Raw genomic sequence first — 24,030 nt, 5'->3', positions numbered from 1 at the left:
TAAGTAACATGCCAAGGTCACACAACTAGTAAAAGGCAGAACTAGGGTCTGCACCCATGAGCTTAATTCCTACTTTCTATTTCCAGATTTAAGAAATCCTGATTTAAAAATAAGAAAATTAGGAGATAGCAATTTTCTTCATTGGATTCTGTAAATTACAATCAGCAAGCTTAAAAATCCTCTACACTTAAAATATTTCCATTATAAAATTTACATATATACACATTTCATGACAGGGATTAATTACAGGTAATTCATGCACTATCTTAGGAATGGCCAAGAACTGAATGTATTCCTGCTAAAACTCCAACCCTGATTCAGATCCCTATTGTTTAACTCAAAAGCAATGGTGATTCCCAAAGATGATTATTCTGAGGGAAGTAAGAGATGCCTTCCCATTTTTACCCCACCCCTAGGAAATCTAAATCCTTCTCACAGGACCCTTGCAATGTCTCTGCAGATTAGAAGGTCTCAAATAGCCCAACCATGAACAGGGTGACACTCTAGTCTCCTTGCAAATCCACTGAGCTCTAATTAATTAGGAGGAAATGGCTATAGTAATAAGTCAGGAAGTGAACCCTCCCTTATTAGAAAGGCTACATTCCTGCTCACGTTGAGCTGTCCATGGTGCTGACACGTCTAAACCCAGTCACTAGGCGTTGGTCTTGCTACCAGTGTTTATTCCTGCACATCTTGGTTATGTGGCTCATGCCTTGCTCACTTGGTTGCTGCCTGGTGCGTCTTTGATGCTGCTGAAGACTCCTTTAAGCCCAGTGGCTTTTAGAACCTATGGCTCTGGTCTAGGCAGGGTTTTACAGATTAGGAAATCAAGGCACAGGGAGATTAAGTAACTTGCCCAAGGCATGTAGCTATAAGTATGAAATCGAACCCAGCCAGGCCACTTCTCTGAACAAGGGCCAACAAGGTTTGAGGTAGTCCTCCACAGAAGCAGGCTGGAGGTAGTAGGCCGCAACACTGAAAGTTTTAGAGAGAAGAGGATGGCTGATAAGCAGAGCACACCATGAAACAAGTAAATGACCAGATGTCCAAGTTGCTGAAAAATAAGGATCTCCTCTTGTAGATTGTGCTTCAAATGGTGTCTTTCCCTCCGTTCTCCTGCTTCTCCCTGGGAGAACTATCCAGCATTTCCATAATTATTTAGTTTTCTTCTATTCTTATTTCTAAGAATCACCAATATCTTTAATTTAAGTAGGATGGCCAAATTTAGGCTAATCTTTTTGAGTGGTTGTTGCCAAGGGCCAGGAGAACATGCCTGGTTTTCCACTCTGTCACTGGCACTGTAACTATTATTACTATTAATACTATAATAAATAATATAGTGAAGGCATTTGTGAATAAATTATTCTGTGTTCAAAATACCTTGATAACATGATAGAGACCTCAAAGTCAGTCCACAGAAGCAGAGGCAGCCAAGGGAGGGGTGGAAGGGCAGAAAAAAAGGGAAGAGTTCATGTTCCTAAGAAGAACACTGCACTCCACACCTCTGCATGTCAGTCTTTGCATACAGATCCTGCCTGCAAACCAAGCCATACTAGAGAAAGAGAACCCACGGAGAGCTATTCAAGGTAAGATTTACAGCAAATGGAAATATGCCAACATTATTCAAACAGAAAAATTTCCTAAGAAAGGAAGAAATGCAAATCTATTCTTTTCCCTAAGCTCAAAGAAATAAAGCCTATTTAAAGCCCATTTTGTTAGCAGAATGATAAAATATCTTCCCCTGAATCAACTTAATAGTTGTTTTTTTATAAAATGCTCGCAAACATGAAGTGTGTGTGTGTGTGTGTGTGTGTACACAAGGATGAGTTTGGGGCCATGAACCTCATTGAAGTCTATTAAGAAATGTTCTGATTAGCGCATTGTGTCTTGCAGTCTATTGAAAAGGTCAAGGTCTATAGCTGAGCTAAATATAACCTGGTGAGAGAGAGCAAGGAGAGCTCTGGAAAATTTTGGGAGGCTTTCATACTGTTTGGAAGATAAGAAGATTGTTTGAAGGGATTTCATTCTTTATGAAGTGTGTGGCTGAAAAAAAGAAGTATCAAGGACAACTATAACTTCTTATACAAATAACTTTAAAGGAAAATCTAGAATAATTTCTCACTGTTTAAAATCATAAAAATGATGTTATGTTCCCCTAGTCTATATTTTCTCTAAGAAATGCAAATCATTTTCATAGGTTTCAATGGAGCTGGTAATCTTATGCTGTTTGGGAAGAACAGAGGTCAGGGTGACCTTCCTAACATGCGCAATTGACTGGGATACTCTGCTGCTGAAAACTCCAGTGACTCATCATGGCTTTTGGGAGAAAGTCCAAAACCCCTTTGTGGTGCAATCAAGGCTCTTCATTTTCTGGCCGATTATTACATTTCCAGCTTCTCTTCCACCTTTTTCCTCTCATGTATTCTGTGGCTTTTCAGATGACTCATGATGTAATGGTTGCCTTTGGACAGAGTGTCCTTTCCCACATTGCCTGTGGTCTCCTCCTTGCCCTGGAACTGTCATTTCCTCCAATCATCCCACCGCCTGACAGCCCCATCCCACTCTCTATTCTTCTCCCCAGAACAAAAATGACTGCTGTGATGGTTAACTTTATGTGTCTACCTAGTTGGGCCATGGTGCCCAGGTATTTGGTCAGGCATTATTCTGGATGTTTCTGTGATGGTGTTTTTTGGATGAGATTATTATTTAAATTGGTGGACTTTGAGTAAAGCAAATTCCTAATGTGGGTGAGCATCATCCAATTTTTTGGAAGCCTTAGTAGAACAAAGACTGACCTTCTCCAAGCAAAAAGGGTTTCTGCAGTAGGCCACTTTTAGGTTCAATCTGCAAAACGGACTCTTTTCTAGGTCTCTTGTCTGCTGGCTCGTCCTGCAGATTTGGATTTTTCAGCCTCCGTAACTGTGTGAGCCAATTCCTTAAAATAAATCAATCTCCCTCTGTACACACATCCTATTGGCTCTGTTCCTCTAGAGAGCCCTGACTAATACAATTGCCCCTTCCCTTTGGCCTCTGCTGTACCTTTTACAGTTCTATGATATTACAGCTAGCATATCATATTTATTGGTTAACATCTCTGTCCTCCTTCTGCAAGCTTCAGGAGCACAGGGGCTCTGTCCCTCATCAATGTATCCCCAGTGCCCACTCAACATAATAAGTTGAATTATAAATAAGCAAGGTCCCCAGATAGATATAGGAACACAGATGTTAAGCAAAACGTTCCTCACCACGTAATAGATATCTTCAGAAGGTTACTCAAAGTTGTTATAATTTTTGTTCTCTTATCTCATGTCTTCCTCCTTGTTATCTGCCAATTATAAAAGCAAAATCTTGACAGAAATGTCCCTTGTGGGTCCCTACCACTCCAACACATATTTGGGTAGAGGAAGTGCATAGCAAATTATAATGCAGTGTATACATAAGTGTGTGTGTGTGTGTGTGTGTGTGTGTGTGTGTGTGTGTGTTGGGTTAAGGGCATGTGCCAAAAGGAGCATAGCTCAAAAAAATAATAGGCTACTGATTCCTTTAGCCCTATTTCAATGAATTATGATTATTTGTCCTAATCAATAATATTTACCATGTGCGTAACACTGATATATATATATATATATTCTCAGATTGTCGTGAGAACATATATATATGTATGTGTGCATATGGAGAGAGAAGAGAGAAGTTAGTCTCTTAGCCTCTATCCTGGTCTGGAATCTTCAGCAGCCCTCCTGGTTACTGCACGGAGTGTGGACTTTCCCATTACTTTTAAAGTCATATTTGCTATTTACTCCTTTCTCCACCAGCGTACCAGGTTCCTTCATTACTTCCTGTTCAAGTTTTATAAATTCCTATCTCAACCTGTAGAGGTCCCTTTTCTCCACAAGTCCAATTACTGGATTCTTCAGAGTTGAAGTAATGTCCATTTCTCCCACATATTTCCTGACTGAAATTCTGCCCAAAGAATCCCTTAGAGGCTACACATTTCAATCAAAACACATTTAAAACACATGTACCAAGCTGTGGTCCTGTTGTTTTGTGCAGGGAGCCAGGCTGAAGGGTCCTTGAGGCAGAAACAATGGCAGTTGCCTCAAATCCTCCCTAGGCTGGTTCATAGTTGGCTGTTAGTACTTGTGCTCTGACTTATTGAGGACCATTGTTTTGTGTCTCTTTCATAGAAAGATACAGAAAGGGGAGGTAAGTACCTCATTCCTGACACTCACCTGGGCTGGCTAACAAATCCAGGGTTGGCCAAGCTATAGCCCTCCTTGACAGGGATTCTTAGTGGTGTATTTAGAGAACGTATTTTTCTCCAGCAAAAAGTTCTTTATTTCGTTCCATCTTTATTTCGTATTTGTTTATATAATACTCTATTTTAAGGGGATAAAGTATATCCCAAGAATCTTCCAATCAGATTGTTGGCTAGAAATCCAGTTAATTTCCTTGCAAGACGTGGAACTTGATGGCAAATAAACTTTGTAAATCATCTAGAATGTGTAAGAAATACTGTAACTTTATCCCATTTAATTTTTAAAATCCCCAATTTTAAAAATCAATTTAGGATGTATATGGATTGCTGTTTACTCAAACTCTCCATTTGTTACTTTTTTTCTCTTACTTTCATTTTATTGAACACAGAACTATTTATGTGCTTGTGTACACACATGCAACTGGAGAACACATGTTTAAAATAAAACAAGAAATCAAGACAGAGAGGAAAACTGCATTCATTATCTGAAAGAAAATTTCATGGTTAAAGAATTTTGGTTTCAGACATTTTGCTTCATATTTTGTTTAAACATAAGACAAAAATATTGATCAGGATAAGATAACACTTTAAAAATGTATCCAGCTTTTAATCTTTAAGTATTAATTAATTGTGCATATTGTCATATTTGCCTAGATGCATGTTGGAAAAATCATGTTCTATTGTACCACTTCCTCCCAGACTTAGAATAGGTGAGATCTAACTTGTACTTGATGATATTTACTGTGAGATCAAATGAAAAGATTTTTATTTTCTAAAAATTTGAAACTATAGCTGGTCATCATATTACCTTTCACTAGACACATTTGATGTAAACGAAAACTGAGGTGGGAATGGCCAAAATATTCCTTCTGAAAGCTTGTCTGGTCCCTAAAACTTGGAAGAGCATACATCTCTATTTCATTCTCCTATTTTTCATGCCTTTTGCTATGAGAAAGGGCCATGAAGTGGTGGGCTCATGTGCTGTCTGGAAGTTTTCTAAACCTGAGAATAGGGTACAGAAACATGGCTCTCTGGACAGCTGGAGAACCCAGTCTGCCTCTGCCATCATCAGCAACCATGACTTATATAGGATACACATGCACGAAAGCTGCTTTTATATTAAAGTTTTATATTAAAACTGCTTTTATATTAATTGACTGCAACCTCAAGGATCACCCTGGACTACATCACTATTGATTACTCATACTCTATAATTCTCGTGGTCCCAAGCCCAGATTTCAACCCCTGGAATATACTGCTCTACTGAAAAAGAACTACCCTCTACCCCTCGAGTGTTTTGAAGTAACCAATGCAACTATCTACACTGACAGATGAATACATTAATTCCACTTAGAAGTAGGATGATTAATTATTGTTGATTATACATATTTTGAGCTACTATTTCTTTTTTTTTTTTTTTTTTTTTTTTTTTTGAGACGGAGTCTCGCTCTGTCGCCCAGGCCGGACTGCGGACTGCAGTGGCGCAATCTCGGCTCACTGCAAGCTCCGCTTCCCGGGTTCACGCCATTCTCCTGCCTCAGCCTCCCGAGTAGCTGGGACTACAGGCGCCCGCCACCGCGCCCGGCTAATTTTTTGTATTTTTAGTAGAGACGGGGTTTCACCTTGTTAGCCAGGATGGTCTCGATCTCCTGACCTCATGATCCACCCGCCTCGGCCTCCCAAAGTGCTGGGATTACAGGCGTGAGCCACCGCGCCCGGCCTTGAGCTACTATTTCTTAAGAGCTTGTTAACATTTGTGCTAGAAACCTTACATTTTCTCCTAAATCCCATTAACAGGCTTAGATGATTATTCTCATTTTACAGAAGAGAAAACTGGCTCAGAGTAATGTTCAAGGTCATGTAACTTTCTCACAGCAAGCCATTTGAACCCAGGTCTCCAGGATTTCAACCCAGGTCTCCAGTGACAAAGGAAGAACTCTCCCAGCTCAGTTATGCAGCCTTGGGAGGATCCCCGAATTAATTGAAAGTGGTGAGCTCTCTATATGATTTTGTACAGCTACAGTGACTCTTTAATTTAATGTGCTATATTAAGAACATTAGCAATAGTAACAATTTGTACTACAATGAATTAAACACTGTCACTCACATTACAATGAGGGACTCCTTCCTTAAGAGAGCAGTTTTCATCCCAAGTATTAGTTTCATTATCTGACTTTCTTTTGAGTGTCTTTTTGTCTTTTCCCTCCACAAAGTTACATTTGTTATCTAGTGCTTTATGAACCTTCACTACACAATGTGTGGTTAATAAATAGTTGGCAAGGAGTCTTGGCTATGTATCAAGGGAATTTTAAAGATAAATTAGTTTAACTGATCTGAAGGTGCTAGATTAAATATATTGCTATGGATTCATGTATTTCCACTAGAATTTACAATTAAATACAAACTACAAGTGAGGTATTAAATCAAATTCTATGGTTGTTTCCCTGGGATATTTCTTTCAAAGTCAGGATGCAAACAGCATACATCTATTAAAGATCCTCTAAATACAGTCTTGTCAGAAAGTTAGTTAAACTATTTATGTCATTACATCAGCATGGCTCAATAGCTCAGAACTAGATTCTGAGACAAAAATTTAGTTTGCTGATACCAGGCCAGAATTTCCTCCATTTTTTTTGGCAACTATTATTTGTAAGATCTTTAGTTCACAGTAAGCTCATAGGCAGCCAACAATTCTTTAAATTTTAGTGTCTGGACATATTCACAAAAGCAGAGATAGAAAGGGAAAATGCATCTCTATACCTTGCAGAAGAGAGAGATGCTTGACTATTGTGCAATGCTCCATCTGGAAAGCAGGCTTGGTGGAGGCAGGATGCTGACCCATGAAGACTGATAGAGCAGTTTTTTTGCTCTTCAACTTTTCAAATAGATTTGCTAAAGCAGTGAGCTCCAATTATGGGAGCCTTTGAAGGATGGTAGAAAGGAATTGGTGGTTTGAAGGATGAAAATGGCTAGACTACGTTCCTGCTCTCACCTTCTGCACAGGAGCATCTCAAGGGGTTGCACATAGCAATTGAAGAGGAGGTGATAGATCGCACAGTGCTCTACTGGAGCCAATCAGAACAAACTCACCTGGAGGAAAGCCCATAGGGATCAAAGCCCTTCTTCATACTGTCCTCTGAGGATCAGAGCCCTTCTTCACACTGCCCTGTGGTATCAGAGCCCTTCTTTATACTGTAATTCAAGCAAACAGGGCAAAGATGCAGAAAATCTGCCTGGTAATAAATTTGGATATTTCCTGAAGGCCAGCACTAGACGAGTGCAGGAACCTGGGAATGATTCTGGGAGATGGAAATTGGCAGGGGTGGACATTAGAGAGAAGGTCCAGAATAGCCTATTCAGAGGTGAAACAACCAGGAAGCTGTGCTGGGCTGATGCCATATGGTGAGGTCTATTTGATAATTTGGCCTTCCTGTCTTCAGTGATATATAACAAAGCTAGAGAAATATGAGGATACTAAGGTAGTGATTGTGGAGAAGCATGTATTTTATAGGAATAATGTAAGTGGGAATGATTTTCTTGTTAGTCAGTTGGCCCTAATCAAACCAAATAAGTAATTGGACAACATTCAAAGGCAAAAATGATCTGAGAGCATATTAGGAGGGGAAAAGACACAAAGCTTTGAATTCAAGACGAGATGTGCAAGTACCCATTTTGGCATAAATCCTTACGAAAAAACTGTCAGGTTTTATCTAATGCACCTAATCCAAAAATCCTAAATTTGAGACTCAAATGACATTGTTCTTAATTAAGCCAGATACTTTTCCAAAAGGCTAAAAGATAACTTCTTTGTTTCTCCGGGGTCAGCTTTGTAACAGCTCAATTTCTAGTGAGGGGCAGGAAAAGGACTTGTGATTTTGAAGAATTCTACAATTGTACATTCCCCTTTTCCCCCAAATCATTTTCTACTTACCATATAAAAATACACCCATTTTCTTAAAAAAATCATCTTTGCAGATATATAGAGATGCACTATGAAGGGCTGAGTGGAGAGGAACTGACCTATGGGATGGACTCTTTCTATCTTAGGGAAGAGATCTCTTTGCTGATGCTGAGCTACACTCACCACCACTGCTCAATGAAAAGTCCTGGTTGCCCTAGAAAGAACTGAAAGAGAAATGACTTCAAGGTTTGGGATTAACTGGAGAAGAAAATGTTACATTTCTAAGGGAGAGGACAACAGATGTCTCATGAAACTGCATCTAACCCCATAATGTTTCAAATTTTTGTCTTTGTGAAGGCAAATTATAATCATGTGGGTGTTTGCCTAATCACCACTTGTTACACAAAGTGTCTTGTGCTAGTGGTTAGCTTATATCCTGAGATGGCTATGGGGCCATACAGATTTTCCCCCAAAACCTATGAATATGAGTGTACTATTGGAGTTATTTTCATTTACTAAAAATGGAATCTTAAAATTCATTGGAATAATTACTGAAAGGGACTGAAAATCCAGTTATTAGTGAGGTTTTATGACGATAAGCATTTGGAATATATTATACTGAATTCCATTTACTCTGAATAGCACCTAGGTTAGTTAGAATAATTAAAATCAGGCATTCACTTTTATGAGTTGAATGAATTGCAAACTCCTAATACCAGCTTTTTTTTTTTTTAATTTTACTTTAAGTTCTGGGATACATGTGCAGAACATGCAGGTTTGTCACATAGGTATACGTGTGCCATGGTGGTTTGCTGCACCTATCAACCTGTCATCTAGGTTTTATTATTATTATTATTATTATTATTATTATATTTTGGGGTACATGTGCACAATGTGCAGGTTTGTTACATATGTATACATGTGCCATGTTGGTGTGCTGCACCCGTTAACTCATCATACAGCATTAGGTATATCTCCTAATGCTATCCCTCCCCCCTCCCCCCACCCCACAACAGACCCCAGAGTGTGATGTTCCCCTTCCTGTGTCCATGTGCTCCCATTGTTCAATTCCCACCTATGAGTGAGAACATGTGGTGTTTGGTTTTTTTGTCCTTGCGATAGTTTGCTGAGAATGATGGTTTCCAGTTTCATCCGTGTCCCTACAAAGGACATGAACTCTTCATTTTTTATGGCTGCATAGTATTCCATGGTGTATATGTGCCACATTTTCTTAATCCAGTCTATCATTGTTGGACATTTGGGTTGGTTCCAAGTCTTTGCTATTCTGAATAGTGTCGCAGTAAATATACGTGTGCATGTGTCTTTATAGCAGCATGATTTATAATCCTTTGGGTATATACCCAGTAATGGGATGGCTGGGTCAAATGGTATTTCTAGTTCTAGATCCCTGAGGAATCACCACACTGACTTCCACAATGGTTGAACTAGTTTACAGTCCCACCAACAGTGTAAAAGTGTTCCTATTTCTCCACATCCTCTCCAGCACCTGTTGTTTCCTGACTTTTTAATGATCGCCATTCTAACTGGTGTGAGATGGTTAAGGCCTGCATGCATTAGGTATTTGTCCTAATGCTCTTCCTCCCCTTGGACCCCTCACCCCCTGTCAGGCCCCAGTGTGTGATGTTCCCCTCCCTGTGTCCATGTGTTCTCATTGTTCAACTCACACTTAATGAGTCAGAACATGCGGTGTTTGGTTTTCTGTTCCTGTGTTAGTTTGCTGAGGATGATGGTTTCCAGCTTCATCCATGTCCCTGCAATGGACATGAACTCATTGTTTACTATGGCTGCATAATATTCCATGGTGTATATGTGCCACATTTTCTTTATCCAGTCTATCACTGATGGGCATTTGGGTTGGTTCCAAGTCTTTGCTATTGTAAATAGTGCTGCAATAAACTTACGGGTGCATGTATCTTTATAGTAGAATGATTTCTAATCCTTTGGGTATATACTCAGTAATGGGATTGCTGAGTCAAATGAATACCAGGTATTTTTAAAGGGCCCTTGCACTGGGCAAAGTAGATGAAAAAGGAAGCAACATCAATTGTCTTTTCTCTCCCCCCATGCACTGGGTGGTTTTAGCAACTTCTCACCTGCGATGGGTGTGTCTGAGAAGAGACATCCCATCTCAGTGATGCCTTATTGAGGACTATGACTTGTCTATTCATGGTCTCTTGGCCAAGATTCCACTTTGGGGAAGGTAGAGCAATAGAATTGGGTATCAGAGCATATTCTCTATAGGACTAATTTAGGAAGTCTCAAAAAGCAGCCCCAGTCTGTGACAAGGTCTCGGGCTTTTGGATAACAGTCCCCACACCTACTTACATTCATCAGAAGATGAGAGAACTCCTTACTGGCCCATCCCTGAAGGATGATAAATAAGCCATTCACTGGATCCTTAAGACCACTGAGACAAGTGCAGGGGTCTTCACCAGTTATATTGCTTTATCTTGCTTAGGGAAACAAAGTCAAAGTTAAATAAGGAATGGAAACACTTTTAAGGTCAGGTTTTCATGGGCCAGAAAACACTTTTAGGACTAGGTCCTGGAACTGGGGCCTCAAAAACCCAAGCCACGCCTCGTTTTGGCAGTCATTTCTGCTGCTCTCAGTGTCCAGTGACACTCTCGGCTCTTCTGCTTGCCAGGAAGGAGAGCCCTGTGAATTGAGCTCTTCTCTGCCCTTATCTTACTTGGCCTCTCAGCAGCACTGCACTGAGATGCCCACTTCTTGCTTCAAATACCCTCCTCTCCTGGCTCTCACAGCATGCTCTCACGTCAAGGGTTTTCCTCCTATCTTTCCACATCTGCTTTATCATCCCCTTCCCAGGGTCCTCCTCCTTTAATGACCTATCATTGTTAGGGCTTCCCTGGGCTGGGTCCTGGGATGTTTTCTCTTCCTTGCTAGGCTTTGTCCCTAGGGGATCCCATTAATTCCTAGGGTTTCAAATACCATCCGGACTTTATTTAGATGACTCTCAAATGTAGAGAAAAAATCATTCAAGTTTATTCATTCAACATTTACTGAGAATTTGCAGTACAGAAGCATGTTACTATATTATCATTTAGAGCAACTTTTGCATCTTGCTGCTATACACTTAATCACTTAAGAATCCTTTCCAGTAATCTTGCTCCATCCTCCCACATTGCCAATCTGTCAACAAGTCCCATAGAGACTTGTTTCTGCAGCATATTTCACAGCTTTCCTTTCCTTCCTCATGGTCAAAACCTTACTTGAGAGCCTCATCACCTTGTACCTAGGGGGAGAACATGGACTTTTATCTGGCTCTCCTGTGTCTGGGGAATACTGAATCCAACTCATTGTTCAGACACAATGATGGCAGGAGTCACTTACTCAACATGTATCATCTGGTGCCTCCTCTGTGCCTAGCGCTGAGGATGTAGACTGGAATCACACTGTCCTTGACCCCAAGTTATTTACATTTTAATGGAAGAGACAGACAAGTAAGTGAACCACTAATGCAATGGGTGGTAAAAGCAATGATGGGATATTCCCAGGTGCCATGGGAGCCATGGGAAGGACACCTCATTCAGCCTTGGAGATCAGAGAAGCTCTCCCTTTGGAACTGAAGGAGTTAGCCACAGGGTTGTGTGTGTGTGTGTGTGTGTGTGTGTGTGTGTGTGTGTGTGTGTCATGGGGAGGATGTGTATATGGAAAATAAGCAGAAGCATAATGAAGTAGAGGAACTGTCATACCCCTTCTGGAATCTGGGCTTTAAGCAGAAAAGTGATAAAGTCAGAAGTACTCTTTAGAAAGCTCTAACTACAACTGGAAGAAGCCATGAGAAAAAATGCTGGCAGAGTTCGTTGCATTTAGTAACCTAGGCAACAGATAATGATGGCTTTGAGCTAAAGTAGTGGAAGTGGGGATGGACAGAAGTAGAATAATCAATAAGTGACTGGCCTTGGTGAGTGATTAAATTGAACAGGGCTAGGTCCAAATCTGGTGTTGGCCATTGACTGACTACAGGCCTATCACAAACTTCCTCAGTTTCCCCACCTGAAAGAGGGATATAATAACTAACTCTCAGGGTCATTGTGATGGTTAAATATGACTTACTATATGTGAGAATGCCTGACATATAGAAAGTTGTCAATAAATGCTCATTTCTTTCCTTCCTCAAACATTATATTGAAATTACAATTCGCTACCCCAGAAAGCATAGCAGTTCCCTGTTATTTTATTATATCGAAATTAACTTTCTGCAGACCAGTGTTCTTCAACCTTGGCACTATTGACATTTGGGGCCAGATAATTCTTTGTTGTGGGGGACTGTCCTGTGCATTATAGGATGGCCTGTACCCAGTAGATGCTGGGAGCACCCCATCCCTAGTTATGACAATGAAAAATATTTTCACTCATTGCCAAATGTCCCTGTAACCTGGGGGGCAAAATCAGCTTTGGTTGAGAACTGTTGCTCTAGACTTTTCTGTCCCCCTACCAACCATACTTTCAATACCATATCTCATGCTCAACATTATAGTTTTTTTTTTATTACTTTCCTCCATGGATTTTAGCTGAGTAAGGTAGGTTACAATCTCATTCTCCTATCACAGCGTATAATTTCACTGTATCTTGCACAATGCCTATAGCACATCACTGAATGAATTTTCAAATACATTCATTAACTTTCTACCATTGAGAGATTAAGGCCCAAACTCCTAGTATGGCAGTAAACATTGCAATAAGTTTCTCCCCATTCACTCTCCAGCGGGATCTCATTATTTCCTATGATTTCCCCATTCCTATAACACTCTGCCTTCCAGACTTCTGCATTTCGTGCATCAGGAACCCTCTCCATCCTATCACACCCACACAAAGAAAACCAATATAGGGTTCCCAACTTTTTATTTTGTGAGATAAGAAAGTTTCATAACAACAGCAAGAGCAGCAGCAGTAAAAACTATCATGCCATCACTTTGTTAAATAAAGGTAACTTTTATACTAAAAAAGTGGAAAAGAGCATAATCTCAGGTTAAAAGAAAGTAATTTAAATGAAAAGAACCTAGCTTTGTTAAAAGACTCACTACATTGTTCTGTTTTTCTCATTTCTAGGAAAACATTGGTGAGGATTTCATTATGGACCAGCATTTGGGAACCACTGCACTCATTTCCTGCCCAACCAGAGTTGACAAGGCTATTTTCTTCCTTGACCTGAACCCAGGGTCTTTGTATATCTCCAGTCAGAATACCCTCCTCCCACCCATTTCTGCCTGGAAATCTATTCCTTCGAAGTCAACATAAGATATTAAGTAGAAAAAAGCCATTAAGTATTAAGTTTTATGCCCTAAACAGAGGTAATCCTTCTCCCCACTAAATTTACTTCTTGAGGGGCTTACTATATTCTACCTTTTGGAGTTGTTTTTATATAGGCCCAAATCAGCAGCATCTTCTCACCTTTGTAGAAAAGGACCTCACACAAGTAAATATTTGCTGAATTTAGTGTTTGGATTGTCTCTAACTTTGGGTTCTCCATTCCTTCCACGTGGAATACCCACTTCATTAGTTTTCTATTGCTACCATAACAAATTATCACATACCTAGTGGCTTAAGATAACACAAATTTATTATCTTACAGTTCTGGAGGTCAGATGCCTGACACAGGCCTCACAGGGCTAAAATCAAGGTGTTGACAGGGTTGTATTACTTTTTGGAGGCTCTAGGGGAAAATCTGGTTTTTTACTCTCCTAGCTTGTAGAGGCCATATTAATTCCTTGACTTGTGGCCAATTTCCTCCAACTTCAAAACCAGTAATGTTGCAACTGTCTGGCCATTCTTCCACAGTCACATCTCTCTCTGGCTGGGAACTCCAACAGGAAAGGTTCTCTGATTTTAAGAACCCATGATAATAGATTGAGCCCACTTGTATAACCTAGGGTAACACATTTCCTCATCTTAAGGTCCTCGCTTTAATCTCACGTGCAAAGTTGCTTTTGCCACGTAAGCTAACATATTCACAGGTTCTGAAGAATAGGGTGTGGACATCTTCAGGGACTATTATTCTGCCCACCATACCCACTTTTGCTATTCTTTATCAATCTACATTCCTCACTCTTTATTCATCATCTGAAACTTAATATAATAAAAATAATAAATGAAAGAGTCAAGATTTTAACCCATGTCTGGGCAAGTACCTCCTTCTAACACTGTTGTGATAAAGAAAACAATGGCAAACATCTGCCCTGTGTAGTGGATGGCCACCCTGTGGAAAACGTGTTATTCTGACATACCTTTCAGACGATATTTGAAAATGTATTGATGTTTTCTCCAACATCCAGTGAATGTATGGCTGTGTGTTCAAAGACAAGCATTCATGGCCCCATAAGACCTCTAAGAGGCAGTCTCTTCTATATTGGGCTCTAGCTTTCGTAACTCAGCTCTGCAAAGTCAGGCAACCAACACTCATCCCTAAGTGTCAGTGTATTTTTAGCACCTCGGGACTTTCATGGTTAGGCTTCCTGAGCTTTAATCTAAGGACACATTTCTCACAAGTTCCCCTTTAGCTGTTACAGTGCTCAGATTTGCCATTGTGGAATAGAAGGGGCTATTTTTGTTTAAAATTTTAGCATTGATTATGCAGTGGTGATTCATGGATTGAGAACTTCAAGGCTTAATTAATATAATAGTGCATGGTAAGTAAGGTCTTTGTGGCAGAATTCATCACTAATTACCACTGAACTGAAACCTGAAGTTCAGAGTTTTTTTTCTAGCATGGCTCAGGAGAAACCATCCCTCACAGGAGAAACCTTGCCTTGACTTCTATTCACTATGATCTGTATAGCCCGTTGAGGTGGTCAGACAATCCCTGGCTTCAGAGTAGCCTTTACCTGCCCAAGAAGGACCTTGATGGAAAGTAATCATTTCTTTATGCGCAGGACTGTATATAAGTTATTTTAGACAATCTCTTCAACTTCCCTCATCCATTTGCATTAGAGACCACAACAGAAAGAGTGCTGTCCTGATTTAGATTAGCAAAAGCACTGTCATTGATGATAATCCTTCATCTATTGTAAGACTGAGTTCCAAAATGTTCATGACTGTGAAGTAGGGAACCCAATAACTTTATCCATGCTAATCAAAATTGACAGATGCATTTTGAATTTACATGTGTTACTCTTTATTGATTATCAGGACAGATAAAACAGCCAGAGAAGATGGGCAGTGGGTCAGATGCAGGCTTAGTGAGATCACTCTGCTTCACCACATGTGCTTCAGATATGAGTGATGCACCTAGAAACATAATAGGGGCTGGAACCCATAATAATTGAGTAGAAGGGGTAAAAAACAAACAAACAAAAAACAAAACCAAGGTTGCCTAACTGAGGAAGTTTAGCAAGAGAATAACTTTCTTATGAATAGTCTAAATATTCTACTGATAATCTCATTTTCTAAAAGTCCTCCATGGGAAATGGAAGTGTCAGAAGGGGGAGGAAATGTGAAAAGAAACAGAGAGTTTTTAGAAATAATTACTGTTAACTGGAAATGTCACTCTCCCCCACATCTCCAAGTCTCTTTTTAGATTAGCAAGCAGCAGTGACCAGATGGAGATGGGGTGTTGAAATGCCTTCTGTGATGAGAGCCAACCATTTGCAGGAGGTGAGCCCCACTTCAACAGATGGACTACCAGTTTTTTGGGTTAAAGATCAGCCAGGCTCATTAAAGAAGCTGCAAGGGTTCAGCAGTTAAAATTCTTTTTTATCTTTACATCCTGAGTGACAGAAGCATCTTCTGCAACCTAAAAAAAGGTTAATCCGAGGTAGAAGATTAAATAGTCCATGACATTGATGTATAAGGACTATAGGAAAGAATATAGGAGAAGGAGGATGAAATCAGTGGTCACTGAAGCCTAGTGGTGTTGCCTGTTATTGAAATTTTGTGGCACTTTCTGGCATGTTCTATTGTAAATGTATTGGCTTGAATTAGTGGAAGAGCTTCTGTGTAAAAAGGAAATGCAAGCTTAATTTTTTACCATTCTGAAACAAACAAAAAGGCTCTAGAGGGGAACTAAATGGTAGGAGCATCTTACTGGTGTAAAAGAATTAAATTAAAATGGAAAACTTGAGGCTGACACCCGAGGGGAAACACTCCGGAAGTCTCAGGTCAAAAACTACATTTCATGTTTCTTCAGCAAGATCAGATCACAGAAGATTAGATCGATAGGTTCTTCCAACAGAACTACAACTTTAATTGATATTGAGAAAAAGCCAATTATTTATTCTTATTTTAGGGGCAGATTTGATGTAATGATGTGGAAAATCATACGTGGGGGAAAATGATGTTCCAATCGGCCTGGGGATGAAATGCTAGGTATTAAAGTAGAGGCAAAATACTCGTGGGCTGGGCTAACCATTTGTAAATATATGAATTCATCTGTATTTGATATCACCATCCTCTCACATCCATTTGCTTTCCATGATCATTTTTTCATAGCTTGGAGTTACAGATGTCACCCAGTTGCATCACGGACTTTATGTGTTTCTGTTCTGTTTTTCTTATTGAGGGTCTATATTAAATGTTTTTAAACTTAGAAACCTTTAAGACATGTACTATATACTTCCATGCCTTCTTCAACAGAGAAAAACTATATGCCATTTCATCTTGATATGAGTTTGGTTCTCCCTTATAATTACAAAGTGTGTACTCTGCCCTCTGTGCAGCTACAGCTACAGATGCAGGTGTGGAGGGCATGGGTCACAGGGAGAAAATGCGGCTTCCTCCCGTGGTGCTGTAGGGCAGTGATGGCACACTCCAGATGGGAGAGCTGTACTGACTGTGCCAATGAGCACACACAGGTGGTCCCAAAGGTCGTTGAGGTATGTGCCGATGGCACTCGCTCCCACTCTCTGACAATGTAACTATTCTCTCTTCTGTTTTTCCCGTAGCATCCATCCCAACATTGATCACAAGCTTACTCTTTCTACAGCTGCTATTTTAAATGTCCCCTACTCTTTTCTCTCTGCATCTCTTCTTTCTTGTCTCATTGGTTGCCAATGATTCTCCCAGGTTCCTTAACTCTCAAAGGCTAGCCTGGTCTGTATGCACATCCTCCACGGGCACAGGGCTTTTTTGTTTCTAATATGCCAAACAACAAATCACAGTTTTCTGTGCCTGAAATTTAGGTGTTCTGTGCCTTTCAATATTGCTGGGATAAAGGATTACTCCCCATCAGAACAGAACAGGATGCTTGAGGGGGTTATTTGGTGGGGAGGGTGTGTATGAGTTATCAAGGATTTATTGAAGTGGGTCCTGAGTTATTTCACTTGGTTATAGAAACTTAATGAATATTTTTCCAGCTCCTATGTGGGCATGCACAGAATCAAATGAAGGGTACAGTTCTGAATGCCTTGGAAATTGCATTTTGATACATTTCATTGGATTGTAGCCAAATACAACTTCTTGTAATAGAGATCCAGAATGGCAATTTACACTGCCTGACAGAAGTATCATTTGGAGTTTTGGCAAATTCTCATCAAGTTATATAATGTGAGCAATCCTTTTCCAGAGACGTGAAATAATACCAAGTGTTCCATTTTCTCCTAGGTTTTCTTTCTTACTGAGGGATAATGAATTAGCTTATTTGTAGTTCAATCAGAGAAATATGTATACCTAAAACATCTGGTGGTAGCAGTAATGAACAGCTGGAACATGGGTTAGGAGGACCAAAAACATGACAGAAAGAGGGTTCAGAACTTTCTGTCCCTACAGCTTCTTGGCAAATCCACTCTTTCCTCCTCTCCCCATATTTTATGCCCAGTTCTGTGTCAATCATGGTAGAGGCAACAGTGAAGGCAAAGTCGTAATTGTAAGTCAGAATTGCTATCTTCAACAGGCTCGTTATCTAGTTATTCAAAGAAGAAATACTACAATTTAAGAAATATATAAAGAAATAGAATAATTCAGGAAAAGCTATCACTTTATGGAGGGATGAATTTCTAAAGTAATAGTGTAAAACTAAAATGCATACTGTTTGGTTAAGTGATGACTACGTGAGGATATAAAAGCAATCTATAAATACTTTAAAGGTGTAAATACCAAGTAGGGTGAGAAATTATTTTGTCTAGTACTCTACAGAAATAGCACTGAATATGGAATTAAGAAAAGGAATACATTGAATTAGTGAGAACAGTTACATAGGAATTCTTTAAACTGTAGCTCCAGGGCCCTTAACAACCTCAAAAACACCTCTGGTTCTTTGATAATATTTGCTGTCATCATGCAGTGGTCTAGTTAATGTCAATGACCATCAAGCACTGTAATGGATCCTAAGATTCCGAAAGGTAAGAGACATCCTCCAGCTCTGCTGAAGCAGGAGCCGAGATGGAAGTGTGGGTAGAAGCATGCCACAGTGGAACTGGGGTGCCATGCTGTGGAGGCTGCACATCAGAGTTACCCCAGGAGTTCTGACGTCATAGCCCTGTCTCAAACACACTGAGCTATGATCTCTAGAGTTGATGCCAAAATCTATGTCTTTTAAGCATTTCACGGATTTTTTTCTGATGAGAGATCAGGGTTGCAGATATTTCCTGATGGGTTTTAAGCAAAGGAAAGACCCACACTGTGTTATAGAACAAATAATCTGGCTGCCAGGTGAGGAACAAAATAGGAGACTGGAGACCGTTAGGAAGCTGTTTGAATAATGCAGGGAAAAGAAGATGAGGGCTTAATTTAAGGCAGCATCAGCAGGGTTGATAAGGAGAGTGCAGGACATGTTCATTGATGGCTTAGTGGTTAACTCGGTATGAAGAGGTGAAGGAAAGTGAGGACTCAAGCAGTCTGGAACGTAGGGGTTTGTCTCATCCTTTACCAGCGGAGGGAAGCCTAAAAAGTTAGCCTGGGTGGTTGAGGGAGTTTTCTTCCAAGACCTCATAGGACAATATCATCAGAGAGAGAGAAGAGAGTCAAGTATTGAAAGGGAGGTAGAAGTCCAAGAAGCAAAAAGGGAGACCAAAGATCACGAAACTAGCAGAGATGGAAGCAAACAGTGCAGTCAAATCTGGAGTCCCTGAACCAGTTGGACAAGAGCAGTAACCAGAAGGCTGAGAGTAAAGCTGGAGCTGCTGTAGCAACTACCTTGTGTAGGCACTGATTTTGTGTGCCTGGGTGAGTTGGTCAAGATTAAGAAGCAGAGATGGAAATTACTGTGTGGATTATGAAAGGGAGCAGAAAGAGGGGTACAGGTTAGTGGAAGAGAAGTTGAAGCATTCTGCTTTGGACATGTTGAGTTTGAGGTGCTATGGAACATTCAGATGAAGGTGTCCAGCAGGGATCTGGGCAGGGATGAGTGAGTCATTAGCAGATTGCTGGTGGCTAAAACTCTGAGAGTAGGTGAGATTATCCTGGGAGGGGAACAGAAGACAAAGAATGGAAGTGGGGAACTGTAAATGGATAAGTACTCCCATGTGGATGAAGGAAAAAACCTCATGAAGAATTTCAAAAAGGTAAGATAAGAAAGGAGGAGGAGAACTATGACAGAGTGCTTCTATGGAATCTAGTGGAGAAGAGAGTTTCAGAAAGAGTGGTCACTCATATCCAGTGCTGGCAGAGGTCAAGGTAATGTCCATTAGTTCTGTTGTTTCTGTTTGTAAACATAGTTCTCTACAAAAAACATTTTAATGCAGAGAATTTAGCTGATGCTAATCAATAAAAGATGACCATAAAAATCCTTGAATTATATATAGCCATGAGTAAATGTAGTATAATTTGCAAGTGGAAGTATGACGACTATAGTTCCCTTGGAAGAATTCTGGGAAGGTGATCTCCTCTTCACTCTCTCCTCCTTGACACATTAAACCAAATTGAATATAGTTCATCTTCTACATTGGACACTCTGACAAATTCATAAATTACTCAACTCATAAGATTTGCAGATCCTTTTGTCTAGTGTGTCTTTTGTTTGTTTTACCAGTGCAAAACTAAATTAACCAGGCAGGCCTTTGAGAATGTATGTATATGTCTATGCTAAGATAATTTTTGTGATAGTAATGTATAATTTTCACCCTACATTTTCTATTTTTTCCCCTTCAGAGAAAGAAATAGAGATGGCCTGCAAAAACTTCCCTTCTTGGCTTTTGTTTCCAGAAGCAAAATTCCACAGAGAGTAATGAGGTGTAGGAAGATGGGGTACTTGTGAGGAAAACATGGAGAGAGAGAAGGATTTCCCCAACATAAAAGTAAATTCCCCAGGGTCAGAGGGAGAAGAAAGAGAAGTCTATGTGCATGCTTTGGATAGAAATATGGATAAACAGAATATTTTCCAAGATTAAAAACAGATTATTAGCAGGGCACAGTGGCTCATGCCTATAACCCCAACACTTTGGGAAGCCAAGTTAGGAGGATCATTTGAGGCCAGGATTTTGAGACCAGCCTGGGCACATAGCTAGATTCGTTCTTTAACCAAAAAAAAAAAAAAAAAAAAAAGACAGAAAGAAAAAGAAAAAAAGAAAAAAAAAACATTAGCCAAGCATGGTGGCACATGCCTTTAGTTCCAGTTAATCAGGAGGCTGAGGCAGGAGGATGGCTTGAGCCCAGGACTTTGAGGCTACAGTGAGCTATGATTGTAGCACTGCATCCAGCCTGGGTGACAAAGCAAGACCCAGTTTCAAAATAAAAATAAAAAATAAACAAGAAATGCAAAAAACAGATTATCTAGGCTAGGAGAGAAAAGAAGTGTGTAGTCCTTTGAGCACCAGGATCTATAAGTCAGTGCCTGGCAGCAACAATAAGTAGCAGAACCTAGAAGGAATCACGGCCCAGAACACCCAGCCTTGACATGGCTTCTCGTGTGCCCAGTGTTAAACCAAAGCCACCAATCTGCATCCTGATGACATGGCTGGGATCATGGAGGGATAGGTGCCTGCTGGCCAGATTAAAGATCCTGATCCCCAGCACCTTGACAAAACCACCAGGAGGAGAGCCCCATGGAAGAATGAGGTTATAACCCACCAAAACATGGTGTATCACAGAGTCAGAATGAAATTATTAACTGAAAAGTAAAGAAATATGATATTTACTGTGCTCCTGAGCTTGTGGCTCTCTGTTCATACTCACTATATAAGTGATTTCCCATATAGATCCCTTTGTCATATACCTGGGTGTATGTCATACACCTGGGAGTAACTCTTGCAGAAGTCCTAGAAGACATGACTGCACACAGTAGGTGGGCCGGGCTTTCTTTGTAGGGGTCTTAGGTTCCAGGAACAGTAAAAGAATTGCCTTTTGAAGTATCCCTAAAAGTCACTCTCATTTCAAGGCCAATGGCATAATCATGTAAACACCATGCCAGAAAGTTAGTTAGGATCCTGAGTGGTTAATCAGCAGAAGTTTACCCCTCCCACTAGAAAATAAGTCAGTTCAGACACACCGGTCCTTGCCAACTCTTATTTTATCCAGTGGCTAACAGATGTGATTGTTAGCTTGCCAGAGCTGCTTATATTTTCACTGGAGTCTTCCTGCTTCCTGCAGCTCTTAGCTGACGAAGTGAGCTGATCTTTCTGGACACCTCTGGGAAGAAGAGAGGGTTGTGGAGGGAAAGAAAAGAACTCATTGTTGATAGAAATAAAATCAAATGAAAAGATGCAATAATTGTCATTAAAAAATGTCCATTTGTGGTATTTAGCTCAAGGAGCAAATGTTAAGTGAGCATCCTTTGATGCTGACTTAGCCTTTGCAACGGAACTATTCCAGGCCCTGTTCCAACTTTCAGAACTTTATTTATTTTTTAAATACAGGCAATATTTTTGTTTTAGAAATGAGATAACTGTAAAGCACTTCCCACTAGAGCAATCGAAGAGCATTTTGCCCCTGCCATGGAGAAAAAGTGTATGTGTAAATCGATATCGTGTACATAAATTACTGTTTATTACCAGACAAGTAAATGACTGCCTCAGAAAGTGGACTTGCTTGCATGGTGAAGGATTAAAAGAATGTTTATCATTGCAATCTAAACCTTTAAAATAAACCCTTGGAGGTAGAAAGACAGATTTTAGTGCTTCTATTACAACTGCACAATACGCTGTTAAATCAGTTCCGTTTCTTAAAGCAGCTAGTAATTTATTACCCAAAATATGTTGCAGTTGTCATCTGTGAATTCCGAGTCACACAACTGTTAAATTTAACGAACTATGGTTAAGAAATGAATGAATAGTTATGAGCTTCACAAATCAAATTCTCAAATATACACTTTGCTTTCCTTGAATTCTAAATGTGTTTACAACAGGCACAACTCCACTCCTCATTGACTTGTCACGCTCAATTTTACGAGGACAAGCAAACAACCATCCGTACTCTCAGTCTGCCAATTACAGCTGTGGCTTTGCTGGGCCCTGGGTGTATTGGAAATATAACTGCTGGGGAGAAAACCACTCTCTAGGACATATGCTTATCATTTGTGGCCATAAAGAGCCACATGGCCTCCAGCACAAAGTGATTTCAGCTATATTTGAGTCACTGAAAAGTAGAATCAATATCTTACCTTCTGGAAGTCTGTGGGAATTACCTTGTTTTCCTTTCTGTCAGATGTAAAATGATTTCAATCTAGAATTAAGGATCCAAGTAGAAATCTCTGAGTTGCAATCATACTGATGATTAGTCAGTCCTATCATCTTTTATTTCCAAATATCTCAATGCCTCACTCAAACATCACACTATTTTTAACATTCCAACAGAAGTTGTACCAAGGACAATTTAGGCTAGGATGATAAAAATACAACATAGCCCCCATTCTTGGATGAAAAGCAGTTGAAGCAATCCTCTCTCATGGAGCAATTTTGTCTGAGCCTTGGTACCTGCATATCCTTGCCCCTCTTTCCATATCCACACTGCCTTCAGAACCTGACTCATTTTACCTGCATCTCTGTCTCAGATTTGTCCTTGTTGGTTCATCCAGCCTGGCCTCTTTGACTCTGGACTTCCACCCAGTGCCTCCATCCTCTGTGATGATTCAGCCTTTTCTGGAATGGCGCTACATAGGCACTGCCCATCCCTGTTCTGACTCACCATGCTACTCTCAGGCCCAGCCCGGTTCCTGACACCCCTTCAATTAGTTTCTATATCCAACTGTGCCATTAATCAACATGATTTTTCTGTCTTATGTAGAGAAAGAGGGATGACTACTTTAACATGGGAGATGGGAACCAGCTGACTATTTCTTTCACTGAAGCAGGTGTTATGGCCAATATTTGACATACGTTCTCATCGCGCTTCATGGAGGACCCTTCATCAGCTTAGATCAGGCAGGAGCTATGTCTTAAATGATGAGATTGAGTTTTTCTGAAGAGAAGAAATGGCATTACAGGCAGTGGGAACGGCACAGTCATGCACTCATAACCCTCAAAAGAGCCTAGGTTTCTTAGGGAACTGGAAATAATTCCTCGTGATGGAGACATTGGGGGCAGAACAAGAAGTAGCAAGAGATGAAGCTGAGGATACAGGGCCTATCTGTGAGAAATCTGGTGTTTGAGGTGTCTGTTGTTTTGCTTTCCTGAGGACAGCAAGAGAATATCTAAGGAAAGCCATGTTACTAAGGTCTGGCCAATCAGAGCATCACATTCTTCTGACCATAGTCATTGGTTCAGAGATGGGCATTTGATCCCATCAGAATCAAAAGAGGTAATAAGCCATCTCCTGGGCCTCTCGGGAAGGAAGCACCTGCTCTTCTCCCACTGGTCCTATGAGCCTGGAGCTGTCAAGAGCTATCATGTAGAGCCTGAGGCTGGAGACAGTGCAGGAAAAGGCTTCACTGAGATCTAGAAGAAACTGAGTTTCTAGAGCAAGCCATGCATAAAAGTGACCCAGTCCTAGTCTGTGGTTATATGACCTAAAGAATTTCCTTTTCTGT

At 40.3% G+C, this 24,030-nt stretch overlaps 1 protein-coding gene across 2 annotated transcripts in view, besides 2 other annotated features; it reads right to left on the bottom strand.

Annotated features, from left to right (window-relative positions):
* The window catches only part of LHFPL3 (LHFPL tetraspan subfamily member 3), a 579,959-nt gene that overhangs the window by 355,631 nt on the left and 200,298 nt on the right, over positions 1 to 24,030 (bottom strand). The window lies entirely within an intron of this gene.
* Positions 1,606 to 2,805: an enhancer, noted in NCBI's record as "BRD4-independent group 4 enhancer chr7:104190573-104191772 (GRCh37/hg19 assembly coordinates)". NCBI's record gives its function as "activates an origin of replication core promoter dependent on BRD2, P300/CBP, MED14 and CDK7 cofactors, and independent of BRD4, by STARR-seq in HCT116 cells {active_cell/tissue: HCT116}" and the evidence as "EXISTENCE:reporter gene assay evidence [ECO:0000049][PMID:35650434]".
* Positions 22,338 to 23,537: an enhancer, noted in NCBI's record as "MED14-independent group 3 enhancer chr7:104169841-104171040 (GRCh37/hg19 assembly coordinates)". NCBI's record gives its function as "activates an origin of replication core promoter dependent on BRD2, BRD4, P300/CBP and CDK7 cofactors, and independent of MED14, by STARR-seq in HCT116 cells {active_cell/tissue: HCT116}" and the evidence as "EXISTENCE:reporter gene assay evidence [ECO:0000049][PMID:35650434]".

The sequence above is a fragment of the Homo sapiens genome, chromosome 7 (assembly GCF_000001405.40).
Source record: "Homo sapiens chromosome 7, GRCh38.p14 Primary Assembly".
NCBI lineage: Eukaryota > Metazoa > Chordata > Mammalia > Primates > Hominidae > Homo > Homo sapiens.
Note: the sequence above shows the minus strand (reverse complement) of the source record. Positions and strands in the feature narration are given on the sequence as shown.